The sequence below is a fragment of the Homo sapiens genome, chromosome 20 (genome assembly GCF_000001405.40).
Source record: "Homo sapiens chromosome 20, GRCh38.p14 Primary Assembly".
In the NCBI taxonomy this organism is placed as follows: Eukaryota; Metazoa; Chordata; class Mammalia; order Primates; family Hominidae; genus Homo; species Homo sapiens.
Window position 1 is genome coordinate 9,404,357 of NC_000020.11, and position 14,505 is coordinate 9,418,861.

At 39.6% G+C, this 14,505-nt stretch overlaps 1 protein-coding gene across 20 annotated transcripts in view; it reads left to right on the forward strand.

Moving 5' to 3' along the window:
- Window positions 1-14,505, forward strand: part of PLCB4 (phospholipase C beta 4) — a 412,131-nt gene that overhangs the window by 335,679 nt on the left and 61,947 nt on the right. For 14 of the 20 annotated variants that reach the window (XM_024451898.2, XM_005260724.3, NM_001377142.1 and 11 more), the window contains 5 exons: window positions 957-992; window positions 3,561-3,702; window positions 4,277-4,361; window positions 4,701-4,825; window positions 6,681-6,732. In XM_024451898.2, the coding sequence (XP_024307666.1) occupies window positions 957-992; window positions 3,561-3,702; window positions 4,277-4,361; window positions 4,701-4,825; window positions 6,681-6,732 (440 nt within the window). The remainder of the gene's footprint in view (window positions 1-956; window positions 993-3,560; window positions 3,703-4,276; window positions 4,362-4,700; window positions 4,826-6,680; window positions 6,733-14,505) is intronic. The other 6 variants (NM_001377134.2, NM_000933.4, NM_182797.3 and 3 more) reach the window with 1 other exon arrangement.

Genomic DNA, 14,505 nt, shown 5'->3' on the forward strand with positions numbered 1-14,505 from the left:
TTGCCTTTACACACTATCTTTTCTGATATAGGGAATTGTGACTACTCTGAGAATATTGAACATCTATTAAGACTCAAGAGTATTGTTTTAATACAAAAATTAGCCAGGCGCCATGGTACGCGCCTGTAATCCCAGCTACTCAGGAAGCTGAGGCAGGAGAACTGCTTGAACCCAAAAGGCGGAGGTTGCAGTGAGCCAAGATTGTGCCACTGCACTCCAGCCTGGGCAACAGAGCAAGACTGTGTCTCAAAAAAAAAAAAAAAAAAAAAGTTGCTAAAGCCTTCATCAATATTGTCTTAGTGTCTTAGTCAGTTGGTGCTGCTATCACAAAAATACCATTGGCTTAAACAACTGAAAACTATTTGTCACCATTCTAGAGTCTAAGAAGTCTAAGATCAAGGTTCCACGCAATCAGTTCCTAATGTGGGGGGCCTTCTTCGTGTTTATGTCCTCATGTGGTGGACAGAGAATAAGGAGGCAAGCTCTCTCTTGGCTTGGCCCTCATGACCAAATTACCTCCCAAAGGCCCCATCTTCAAATGCCATCACATGAGAATTAAGGTTTCAGTATATGAATTGGGGACAGTATGGGGGGCTGCACCAGCAAACAGTCCATAACAAATACCCAGACATGAATGCTGAGTTACTCAAGAGTGACCATTCATGCTGCTTTTCCTAAGCCCCATGACTAAAGCACTAATTAAATAATTATAATAAAACATCTAAGTAGGTAAAGACTGTCCACGAAGGAGGGAAAGAGCATTAAGATTAGCCCTTCTGGTGCATAAAACAGTGAGGCCATCCATGGCTTTTTGTCATCAGTAATGTCCCACCTTAGCAAATAAATAGAATAACAAGTTTACCTACACTTATTTAAATATCTATGTATGTATGGCTAATAAATTTGGAATTTTGCCCTTTAGAGAAGTAAACAAATTATTTCCTTTCTCTAATTAGGCTTCAGATGACCTTGAACATGAAAACAACAAAAAGGTAACAAAATAATTCCCTTGCACATTTTAAATCAGATGCATCTAATTTAAAAAATCTTCAAAGGAAGGAATCAGTTGTGGTGAAAAAATGATTAAATCCTGATAAAAATCACAAAACTAGGGCAGATGAGTAAGATGATTTTCTAAAAGTAGGTATTTAATGCAGTAAGGCATTTTCTTCACTGGAATTAGAGATTTCATTCCTGCAGTGGAACTACATGATCATCAGCATATTGAATTTGAAAATAAAAATGAGTGAATAGGTCATCAAATCCATATTATAGCATAATAGAAAGGATGATCTTAGTTCCCACTACATTGACATTCTGGAAGATCACTGATTAATTTTACACTGCATAACTTCTAAGAGTATTATTTGATGTTATTAGCTATTGGCCTTATTGTAGGAAAGGTAAAGTTACATTTTCACTTTCTTTCATCCTCTTCAAAGTTCTTCAAGTGATCACAGTGGTTTTATTTAGTAAGTATTTATGGTTTATCCTACAACAGTGAGGCTGACAGCCACAGGCAGAAGTTTGCCTAATAACTTCATTCTCATACTTCAGAGGTTCGGAAAATACTGCCTTGCTGCCTGTGGGGTCCTATCCTATTTGAAGTTGAGATCGTATCTTCTCACCCTCTAAATATTAAACTTGAAAGAATTATGAATAAATATGGTCGCAGGCCTGTCCCAAAATATTTGTGAGTACATTACTCTCTTGTTCTAGAATTTCATAATTCATAATTTGGGTCAACAGTATACAGATTGACATTTGGTCATTGTCATTTATTAGCTAAGTTATTTTAATTCTCAAGGCATCAATCTTCTCATGTGGTCAGTGGGTAGGACTCTAATCCTCACTACACATCACAGACAGTAATGAGACTGTGTGTGCAAGAACTCATCCTGGTGCTCAGCTCATAGCACTGGTGGTATTTATTATTATTAAACACACATGGAAGGAACGGACATGGCCGTTGTTTGGTGGGGGAGCAGGAGGACACATTAAGAAAATGATAAAAACAAAAACAAAACCAAATTACATTACTTGATTATTGTTTCAGGCTTTTATTGGTGAAATCAGTTTGATAATTTAGAATGCTCAGATTGTTAAGTGATCAGTTAAGACAAACAAATTGACCATTTTTTTTTTTTTTTGAGATGGAGTCTCACTCTGTTGCCCAGGCTGGAGTGCAGTGGCGTGATCTCCGCTCACTGAAAGCTCTGCCCCCCGGGTTCACTTCATTCGCCATTCTCCTGCCTCAGCCTCCCAGTAGCTGGGACTACAGGTGCCTGCCACCATGCCCAGTTAATTTTTTTGTATTTTTAATAGAGATGGGGTTTCACAGTGTTCACCAGGATGGTCTCGATCTCCTGACCTCATGATCCACCCGCCTCAGCCTCCCAAAGTGCTGGGATTACAGGCGTGAGCCACTGCGCCCAGCATCTGACCATTTTTTAACTCATGGATTACATCATCCAACTAAGGAATTTATCCAACTAGATTCACTTTATGCAGGAAATTTAGCTTTGCAAAGTTCTCAGCAAAAATATTGATCACTTTTGAAGGTATTTTTGTTGTTGGTTTTATTGTTGTTTTTTCTATCAATAAATAAACTAATTTGTTTTCTTTTTTCTGTATGCAAAGTAATGCAGTTTCAATATGTCCTATGCAGCAAGTTATTAGGTTACTTTTAAGATTAAGTGCTTTTTAAATACTATAAACCACGTATGTATGTTGCTTACATTCTAGAGTGCTACAGTGAAACATAGTCCCCAAAGAGGCAGCATCATTAGCACCTGGGAACTAGTTACAGCAATGACTGGCCTCACTGCAGACTCACTTCAACAGAAACTCTGAGTGTGGGGCCCAGGAATCTGTTCTAGTTTAAAAAGTCTTCCAGGTGATTCTGATGCACGCTAATGTTCGAGAGTCACTATTTTTGATGTTGTGCCTCAATTTGTAAAAATATGATGCTATATCTATTTCATAGCATTGCTGTGAGGTCCAATATAGTAATTTCTTTTTTTTTTTTTTTGAGATGGAGTCTTGCTCTGTTGCCTGGTCTGGAGTGCAGTGGCACAATCTCAGCTCACCTCAACCTCTGCCTCCTGGGTTCAAGCGATTCTCCTGCCTCAGCCTCCCAAGTAGCTGGAATTACAGGCTCACGCCACCACACCCAGCTAATTTTTGGCATTTTTAGTAGAGATGGGGTTTTGCCATGTTCGCCAAGTTTGTCTTGAACTCCTGGCCTCCCAAAGTGCTGGATTAAAGGCATGAGCCACCGTTCCCGGCCAGTAATTTCTTGAATAAAGTCCCTTAAAAATCTAAAAATGTCCTACAAATGTAAGATAAGCTTAATATTTTATGATTACCTCCTTTTGCATTATTCAGAGCTACAACAGACACTAACTTCTTAAAGTATCCTTTAGCATAATTGAGGAAGAAAAAGCCTTTACCTTTCAATTTGTGTGTGTGCAATTATCTTTATTAAGGAAATCTGCAGCACGTATCCGTGGGTCCTACTGAAGTCATCAACTTATATGTTTTCTTCCTTGTGCTTGTAGGGCCTGGTCACTGTAGAAGATGAGCAGGCGTGGATGGCATCTTATAAATATGTAGGTGCTACCACTAATATCCATCCATATTTGTCCACAATGATCAACTACGCCCAGCCTGTAAAGTTTCAAGGTTTCCATGTGGCAGAAGGTAACACCAAAGGTTAAATGCAGTCGCCTTTTTTGCTTGATTTTCTTTTATGGTGCTGATGAGCTTTTATCTAATTTGTTGCCATTTTTCTTTGTGGGCATGGGGGCTGTTCCACCTCACCTTATTTTTGTTTCACAGACCATAGAAGCCACCTTGGTATGTGGTGACATTACATTGTCATTCACGACTTCAACCACAAGGTGGCGATGAGAGACTATGGATTTGTTAGTGCTGGGCATGTAGCTTCTTCTGTTCCCAAGTGCATTCACAAGACTCCTTTTAATCAAAAGCTGGTTTTCAAAAAAACATAAGAAGTATTTAAAAACTTCATTTCTGGGCTAGAGAAGCCATCGTAATCATCATTATCATCAAAAATTCATATTTCGGTGGTGGCTGAAAAGACAGATGTCTCCATCCACAGGATGTCAATGAAAGTAGGAGCTACTGACATGATAATGTAGCATTAGCCTCCAAGGCCTCATGATTCAGGGTGTAATTGCATTTATTTATTGCTGTTTTTCGGTGAGGGTTTGATGGCAGAGTTCCTGAATCCATCTTTGCTTTTCTTTTACAGAACGCAATATTCATTATAACATGTCTTCTTTTAATGAATCAGTCGGTCTTGGCTACTTGAAGACACATGCAATTGAATTTGTCAAGTATCCTTATGTATCAAGTGGAATGAGTGGTTGACTCACGTTGGTTTGGCAAGAGCCTCTGAAATAGATAAATGGCTAATATCTCATTCTGGTGGTGGAGTTCATAAAATGATATGTGGGAAAGACCATGGCAGCTGTGACAATCTGCCCAAATGAAAATTGTTTTTATAATCCACACAGTGAACTGTGATCTTAAGCATCATTTGTAAATGTGAAATCTGCTCTGTGCTGTCTACTTGTTTGTCATTGTTGGCCTAGACCTTTGTTGTTTTAGCTCTTTGTTGTTTATTTTTCTCTGCTGTAGGACTCTTTTTTTCTGTTTTCCTTAATAAGTTACAGTTATAACAAACGGCAAATGAGTCGCATTTACCCCAAGGGAGGCCGAGTCGATTCCAGTAATTACATGCCTCAGATTTTCTGGAACGCTGGCTGCCAGATGGTTTCACTGAACTATCAAACCCCAGGTAGGAGCTGATGTCCAGTGACCCCAAATTCCATGAGAACACTTTGACAGGATGGTGCCAGCACTTCCCATCAGTTGGCTGTGGGCATTTTTTAAAGGAAGCAGACATATGGCAAAGCAATGTGTTATTGGATTTATATAATGGTGAGAAATAAAAAAAAAAAAACCAAAATAGAGCAAACAATGGTAGAAGATAATGTGTTGTGATTGGAATTTAATTCCTTTCATAAATGCCATGACTATTCCTGCTAACCATTATCCCATATTCCAAAATATTTCTCATTTTTCTTCCTTTTGGATCAAAGTTGTTATCTTTGTTTCCAGAGGCAGAATTAAGTGAAAAGAATTTGAGTATCTTTGTACAGTAACAGCGACTCATTTCTCCTTTGGCAAACACCCTGACCACTGTGAACATTCAGCAAATATGACTGATGCAGGGGCACTTCACTAAACAAATACAGAATATTTTGAAGTAAATGCCACTAAAATGGTATATAAGGAGTTACATATTTGAAGAGGTACTAATCTATAACTTGGTCCTCCAAAGTGTACTCAAAGTCAGGTTTCCAATATATAATGACTTTTTTTTTCTGGAAGGAAAAGAGTAAATTTTTATAATTGATAAACACATTTTTAAAATTTTTGAGGTTTGCTTAAGAGCCTAGGATCACAGTATCAAGACTAGAGGTAGCAAAATAGAAATAGAATAGATAGAAATATGCCACAAACCCTCTTCACTGTAGATGGTCAATTCTACAGCATGGTTCTTACAACTGGTAAAATAAAACAAAACCAGAAAGCTCTTTTTTCCTTCAACTCTTTGCTATTAAGAGAACTGCCCATGCTTCCCAATTTGAGGATTTTTTAAAATCTATTTTGTATTTTAAGAATCCCTGTCACTTCGTTCCCTGCTATGTGGATTGAGTGGAAGATCCTTTGACTTTCATTCCTTTGGCATGAGTGTGAGCTGACTGTGCTTCTCATGCCTTGAAGGAGCCTCCCCAGTGACCAGAAGCTCCTCCTACTGGAGTCACCATTCTGCATGGGGTCCCCACAGTGCTTGCTAGGTTAGACTGTGACGTGATAGCTACCAATACAATCCTGAGTGTTTCTAGCTGGGGCCCAGTAACAAGGCTCTGATGACTTCACTTACTTAAAAAAGCCCAACTTGTGTTCTCAGTTGTCAGTGAGTCCATAATATGGATTAAATGGCTAACCCAGCTTATGTTTTATTCTATAATATTAGGTTTAAACACAACATTTTGAAGAGGAAAAAATATCCATCAGTTTACCCATTTCTTTTGCGGATGGGAAGAAAGAAAAAATGTTATTCACTTGCAAGACAGAAGTCAAAAGCCATGTGCTGCCAGTGTAGACCCCACTAGAGTAATTCCCCCTGCCTCCCATCCTGGAAGCATGCCACCAAGTTTTATGCGATACTTACCTAGTTCATTTTCCAGTCTTTTAAATCAAGTTTCATATTCACCCTCCCGGGTATCTCCAGGGTTCCTCTGCCCAGGGATCCTGAGACCCATCCTCTCCCACTGTAGCAGGTTGGATATCTCTACTCTCAATACTCATCAAACAATGGTGTGACTCCTATATTGAATCCAGTTTTAAAAGTGACCTTTAGCATGATCTTTATGAAAACACATTTTATGTTTAATTTAAATGAAACATGAGGTCAATTCAACATGGAAGAGAGTATGCCTTAAATAGACCAAGCAGAACCTTGTAGTATTAAAGAGGGACCTGTGGGCCTAGGAGCAATCTGATACCTATTGTTTCAAATCACCCCGTCAGGGTCTTTTTTGTCTAGGAAGACAAGATGCTAAATTATTTTTGTCTCTTGACAGATTTAGCGATGCAATTGAATCAGGGAAAATTTGAGTATAATGGATCGTGCGGGTGAGTAATATGATTTAAACTGTTTTCACCTAGATTGAGAACTCCATACTACAGCTCTAATGAAGCCATGTCATTTTCAATTAGGGGCTACAGAATTTAAGCTGGGTTTGAGGGATGGAATAGAAAGAAATGAAATACCTAGAGAATATTTGCACATATACATTCTTCATCTACCCCATTTTACTAAGCAGGTTTTGGGTTTTTTAAATCACAAGTGAAGCAGTTCATACATATGCTACAGTTTAATCCTCTCACTTTAAAATCAATAGTGGAGGATTTTATGTCTGGGACAGGTAATAATCCCTGCACACTTGGACATTAACTGGAGATGTAGGCATTAAATATGTGCATTTTACCTAGGACAAATCAAATAATGAAGTTAATTTCATATGTAATGAAGTTGTGGGTGTCGAGCTGAATTTCATTCAGTTGGGAATAAACCTTTGTCCTCTACTGATTCTTTTTTGTGTCTTGTAAGTAGCAGTTATCAAAGAATAATGCTGTGAATATTGTCCTAGTTTCCTTAAATAGCACTCTTGAAAACTGTGAACCAAGAAGTGAAATAGGAAATGTTAATTCTACAGAAACACTGAAAGGTTAAATGAAAATATAAAATTAGAATTCTCTTGAGATAAAAAAAAAAAAACACAACTATGTGGTCATCCCCTCACCCCACCTCAGCCTCATGCATCTGTCCCCAAACAAGTAAATATTAATAACTCCAGACCACTGCCCAAAGGCCTGTAGAGGAATCCAATGGAAAACTATCCCGTCATAATGATGCTATTAGGAATTTCTTCATGGTGGCTCACCTGATTGGATATCTTTTTATCACTGAACACTGCCAGTCAAGATAACATTTTTCAGTGGTTGTGAGTTAGGAATGACTTTTCAGCATGCACTCTGCCTCCCTCTGCCAGCCTGGTGAATGGTTCTCTGCCAATGTGGCTGCAAACACAGTGATTATGCTATTCCCCAAATCACCCACCACTTACATACCTGGAGCATGCCCTACATTTTCCTCTGCTGTGTGCTTTGGAAGAAAATAAATTGTGTAGCTGGGAAGAGAAAGATCTGAATTCATATTTCAGAATTTTGTGAAAGCAATTTTGTTATTTAATGCCAAGTGTTCCAACCCAGGAGATTTTGCGCATAAATTGCTTTGTAGACCTCCTCCTCTCCCAAGTAGTGGGCCAAGGCATCAAGCCCCAGGGGTTCAGCCCTGGACTGTCAGTAAAAGCCCTAGGCTGGGAGTCTAAAGATCAGGGTTTGAGCTCAGCTCCCAGCTGCTCCTAGTTCTTGCTGTATTGCCTAGAGCAGGTGTGTTAGACCCAGAGCCTCTCTTCTCTGCTTGATAAAATGAAGACGGTGACACCTGTCGCACAGGGTTTGTTGTACTCAAAGGAAAAAAAATGTCTTTTTTCTAGAACGAAACAGGGAACTGAAAAAGACTTTGTCCTTTGACAAAAACCGAGTCCTTTCTGATGAGACCCACCTTTGGGCTTCCCTCTCAGTCACTGTAGAATCCAGTCTGAGCAACAATCGTGCTAGTTCAGTTTAGTGAAAATCCCCAGCCCTTGGTATCTGACCACCCTGGATATCCTGTCACTTTGGCCTGCCTTCAGCAATAATCCTATCAAGTCAGTTTGGCCAGAAGTCCTTATCCTTGATGTTTCCTCATAGTAATTTTCCATCTGCTGGCGCTCACCTTACTCCATGGTTCTAAATCTCCATGTACGCTTGTTGGGGTAAGGGTTGAGCCCTTATACCTATCACCATGGCTCCCTACCCCTTTGAATAAAGTCCACTTTACCATGTTTAACAAGTGTTTGTGTACATTTTTTTCTTTAACAGTTTACGACAGCTCAGTCAGGTTGAATGAGTGTACGAAAGTACTTCAGGAACTGCACATTTCTGTGCAAAAGTGAGATTTAAGAAAAGCTTAAGGCCTTGTGATCAATCACACACACAGACATTGCAAAATTCAATGAGTGCTCTGTTCAGTCGTCCTTTAAGGACCCCAAGGAGTCAGCCTCAGCACTCCTGGCTCTTACAGGACCCGTCGGGCATGGCTGTGCTCACTTCTGAAAACTTGCAGTGGCCCGGTGATGCTTGAAGCACTTTCCTTGCCCACCTCAGCGATCACACCTAAGATGCCATCAGCTGTCTAACATGCCATGAGGAATCCTGGCAGCCTGGCCGGATGCAGGGAGTATTGTTTCTGTATAAAAAAAATCCTGACGGCTCGGCCCAGTGGCTCACACCTGGAATCCCAGCACTTTGGGAGGCCGAGGCGGGCAGTGGCTCACACCTGGAATCCCAGCACTTTGGGAGGCCGAGGCGGGCAGATCACAAGGTTAGGAGATCGAGACCATCCTGGCTAACACGGCGAAATCCCGTCTCTACTAAAAATACAAAAAATTAGCCGGGCGTGGTGGCGGGCACCTGTAGTCCCAGCTACTTGGGAGGCTGAGGCAGGAGAATGTCGTGAACCTGGGAGGCAGAGCTTACAGTGAGCCAAGATCGTGCCACTGCACTCCAGCCTGGGTGACAGAGCAAGACTCCATCTCAAAAAAAAAAAAAAAAAAAGTCCTGACAATCCTATGTTGTTTGTTTTTCCTAGAATTTCTGCTTAGCCATTATTAGCACGTGCAGTGTCTCACTCTCTCCACCGTTATTTATTTTTTCTTAAGACAGGGTTTCGCTCTGTCACCCAGGCTCAAGTGCAGTGGTGCAAACGTGGCTCATTGAGGCCTTGACATCCTGGGCTCAATCCATCCTCCCTCCTCCACCCCTCAAATAGCTAGGGGTGCCCACCACCACACATGGCTAGTTTTTTTATTTGTACAGATGGGGTTTCACCATGTTGCCCAGACTGGTCTCGAACTCTTGAGCTCAGGCAATCTGCCTGCCTTGGCCTCCCAAAGTGCTGGGATTACAGGCATGAGCTACTATGCCTGACCTCACTGGTCATTTGTAAATGCGTTCATTTATTTTAAAATACCTTCACAGAAAAGGATACTGTTGCTACTTTAGCCTGAATTCTGTGCTGATGTGTTGGACGCTATGTGACTGAAAGCATACACCTCACCAGAAAAGCTGAAAAATAGCCTGTGCAGTGGGGCAGCCCAGCTTGATAAAGTATCAGCGATGCTGTTGACTCTGTAATCTCCTAATTCCCCTTCCCATACACCCAGCTGGTGGCAAAGGCTGTCAGTGACAGGGAAAAGAGAAGAAATTGCCGTCACCTGCATGCCTCTGTGTTCCATGGCGATGGTAGATGTGGGGCCCGGTGCTGCACAGGAGCTCCTGTCACTGGTGCTCGGGCACTGCATGGTTCTCACCGTGTCACCCTTGTGGTTCTCCCACCCACCTGCAAAGACTTTTAAAAACTGCCCCTTTGGGCTGAGTCTGAGGACTGCATTTCTTAAAGAGGCATTCTGTGCCCTTTAGGCCTGTGGAGGCAAAGAATCCCTGTTTTATATAGAACATCAGTGTGCAAAGTACACAAACACCCCCAGGATCTAGCAACTGTAGCAAAACGTCAGATACCCTCCTGGGAAAACCCTCTGTGCTCCCTGGCTGATCTTGTGGGAGGACGCACCACTGGGCCCAATAAGTGTGAATGTTACCAGGAAAGTGAGCAGTGCTTTTAACAGTCTCGTTTTTGAAGATGGAAAAATGGAAGACATTTCCCTAATTGCAAATGAAACAAAATAGTGTAAATTAATACCTAAAATCTTTTTAGACTTTCATAGGAAAGTGAGTGATTGATATCAAAATGGTATGACATTTTATGATTCAGAGGCTGTTTTTTATACAGCATTTCTCCCTTGCCCACAGGCCGTACGTTCTAAGAACCCCAGTGGATGCCTGAAACCACCAAACCCAACATGTATTATATATATTGTGGTTCTACACATTGCATACCTGTGATAAAGTTTAATTTATAAATTAGGCATAGTAAGAGATTAACATCAATGACTAATAATGGAACAGTTATAACAATATAGTGTAATAAAAGTTAGGTGAATGTGGTCTCAAAATATCTTAATTTTTTCTCTTTTATGTTTATTGGCTATTTGGATATTCTGTTTTGTGAAGAACTTCTACTCATTTTCCTATTGGGTTTTCTATCTTTTAAAATAGATTTTTTATTTCAAATTTTTATTTTCCAATTTTTATATTAGGTTCTATTTTAATATTTTTGGAACAGAGTTGACCAGGGGTAGCTGAAGCCTCAGAAAGCAAAATTGCAAATAAAGGGGGATACTGTATAGCATAGCAACTTGCAGTTATCATCAGCAGCCATTTTGCTTTCTTGCAGCTAAATAAAATAATGGCATGTTGGACAACTGATGGCATCTTAGGTATGATGAAATAGGATGCATTTCCTTATGACCCCATTTTCTCATTCTTGGTGCTCCTATCCACCCACCTGGTTAGCAACCCTTCTTCTCTCCCTCGCTTGCCTTCCAAGGCCTTACACAGTCCACAGAAAATCCTTGGATCCCTGTCTTGGCATTGGCTTTGGCCTTGTGCCTGTGCCTACCGCACAGACCTAGATGTCTGGAATGAGTTCATTTTCTGTACCAGAAAGCACCAAACAGACCATCTATGTCATTTGCAGGGCCCAATGCAGAATGAAAATGAAGGGCTCCTGAGAATTTAGGATGGTGGATGCAGAGCATTAAACCAAGCATGGGGCCCTTCTGAGTTCAGGGCCCTGTAGAACTGCACAATTAGCACATCCACATAGCCAGCTCTGGTGCCAGATTCTGGCTTCAGCTTCCCTATCAATGCCCCAGCCCCCTGCACCCTCACAGCCACCAGGGATATGAGAGGCAACCTCTGCTGCTCTCTCAGACCGCCTTGGACCCAGAACAGATGCTCCTTTGACCTTCAAAGAAAGCTTGCTAAGTGTCCTATCCCAGGCCAGGGCTTATCTCATGGTCCTGACAAGCTTCTGCATACTCTGTTTTACTCTCTTCAAGTATACAAAATGAACCCATTTCACCGGAGCATGCCTGCTTTGGAGAATTGGATATGGGTTTCTTGCCCCTTTCCCCTGCCATTTCTCATTTTGGATCAATTCACTCCTTCAGAGATGAGTGTTCTATGCAGATTTGAAAGGGGGGATGTGGAAGAATGCTTTTGACCCTGAGATGTCATTGTGATCCCGTTTCTTATTTTGGTGGGTAGGAAGGGCTCTTGATCTTTAACAAAGGACTGTGGAAAGTGAGGAATCTCTGGACACTCACTTCCCAAGGAGATTCAGAACTGGAAAGGTGACTCCAGTCCTGTATTCATCCAAGTCCCGACCTTCCTCGGGAGGCAGAATCCCTCATTTGCCACAGCTGGGGTCCAAATGCTGCCTGTGTCATGAAAGCCAGACCCACCATTGTTACCTCCCCTCACAGTCTGTGTCGGTTTTCCTTCCAGAGAAAGCTGGTGGGCTTCCCTCGGAGATGCAGGCGTAGTATTGTAGCTACTCACCTACTTTCCATCCTGATTCTTTACCTTTTGCTGTATCATCATATTTTCTAGTTGCCAACTCTAGCCACAAAAAAAGCTGCAAATCTAAAATTCCATGAATACAGAAGATAATCTCTTCTATATAGAGAGCTTTTATATTAATATTGTGGGTTGCATTCTCTTGGAGACAAGAGTGTTCAAAATTACCTTCAACATTTCAACAATTGTGTAAATGTCTATATTCTTGATAAAAAATCAGTGTTGTCTCTTAAAGATTCCTTTTTGGACTATCAAATGTAAGGGAATATTTTTAACACTTTGTTTTTTGTTCAGTCTTAGAAGATAACAATGAATGGTGACTTTTTCAAAACTAAGAAAAGTGACATTAAACTTTAAAGAAAAAATATCATGACTCAGGATCCCTTTTGGGTTGTATTTTAACAGATAATAAAGTTGACATCATCTAGACTTGAAATTAATAAAAGTTATGCTTCTAAGAAAAATTAGAGATTTGAGTTCCCATAATTTTGATTCTTTTACATTTAAAAGCAAACCTTTACTTTTGGAAAAAAGTACTTTTATTTTCATTGATGTACTGCTCATAGTATGGATTCTTTAAATCTATGGTTATACTTATTTCTAATAATTTTTTAATTTTTTTTAAGTTTTTTGACACAAGTTTCAGGGAAATTATGGAATCTGTGATTATATGACCACTACCCCGTGGACATGAGGGGCAGACATTGTGTAGTGAGGGTAATTGCAGAACATTTTCATCGCCTCAAAATCTGTATCGTTTAGCTTTCATCTCCCAATAGGAATTTTAATCTACCCTCTGTCTCTATATTTGCCTATTCTGAACATTTGATATAAATGAATTTATATAACATATGGCCTTTCGTGCCTGGCTTCTTTCACTTAACATAATGTTTTCAAGGTTCATCCAGGTTGTAATGTGTATCAATACTTTATTATTTTTATTGCTGAATAATTTTCCATTGTATGGATATACCATGTTTTGTGCCATACATTCATTCATCGATGGACATTTGGGTAATTTCCATCTCTGGATTATTACAAATAATGCTGCTATGAATGTTCATATGCAAGTTCTTCTATGAATATGTCTTTCCATTTATCTTGGTTACATGCATAAGAATGGAATTGCTGGGTCATATGGTAACTCTATGTTTAACTCTTTGAGGAACTGCCAGACTGTCTTTCTAAGTGAATGCATCATTTTACACTCCTACTAGCAACATATGAGAGTTCCAATTTCTCCACATCCTTGTCAACACTTATTGTTATCTGACTCATTAATTACAGTCATCCTAGTGTATACATAGTGATATCTCATTGTGGTTTTGATATTCATTTCTCTGATGACTAATGATGTTAGACATCTTTTTATGTGCTTCTTGGTTTTTTGTATATCTTATTTGGAGAAATGTCTGTTCAGATCATTTGACCATTATTTAGATGAGTTATTCTTTATGTATTCTAGATACAGGCCTCTAATCAGATATATGAATTGCAAATTTTTTCCTTTTTGTGACTAGTCTTTTTACTTTCTTCATAGTGTCTTTTGAAGCATAAAAGTTTTCAACAGAAAATCCAGTGTATCATTGCATGTGCTTTTGGTATCATGTTTAGAATCCATTGCCAAATTCAGGTCATAAAGATTTGTCCTTATGGCTTCTTTTAGGAATTTTGTAGTTTGGCTCTTGCATTTAGTTATTTTATCCTCTTTGAGCTAATTTTTGTATATGGTATAAGGTAAAGATCCAGTTTTATTTATTTATCTATTTATTTGCATGGAACTATCCTATTATCCTGTCACTATTTATTTAAAAGACTATTCTTTCACCCATTGATTGGTCTTGGCATCCTTGTCAAAAATCAATTGGCCATAGATAACGTGGATTTATTTATAGACTTTGATTCTGTCTCAATGAGTTATGTGTTTTTCTTTATGTCAGTACCAGACTGTCTTGATTAAATCTTGTAGCTTAGTAATAAGTTTTGAAATCAAGAAGTGTGAGACACCCAATTTTGTTCTCTCTTTTAACATTGTTTTGGCTATTCTTGATCCCTTGAGTTTCTATATGAATTTTAGGATTAGCTTGTCAGTTTCTACCAAAAAGTCAGCTGGGATTTTGATAGAGATTACACTGAATTCACACATCAATTTGAGAAATACTTCCAGCTTAACAATATGGTCTTCCAACCCATGAAGGCAAGATGTCTTCCCATTTATTTAGCTCTTCTTTAATTTTTTTAAACAGTGTTTTGTAGTTT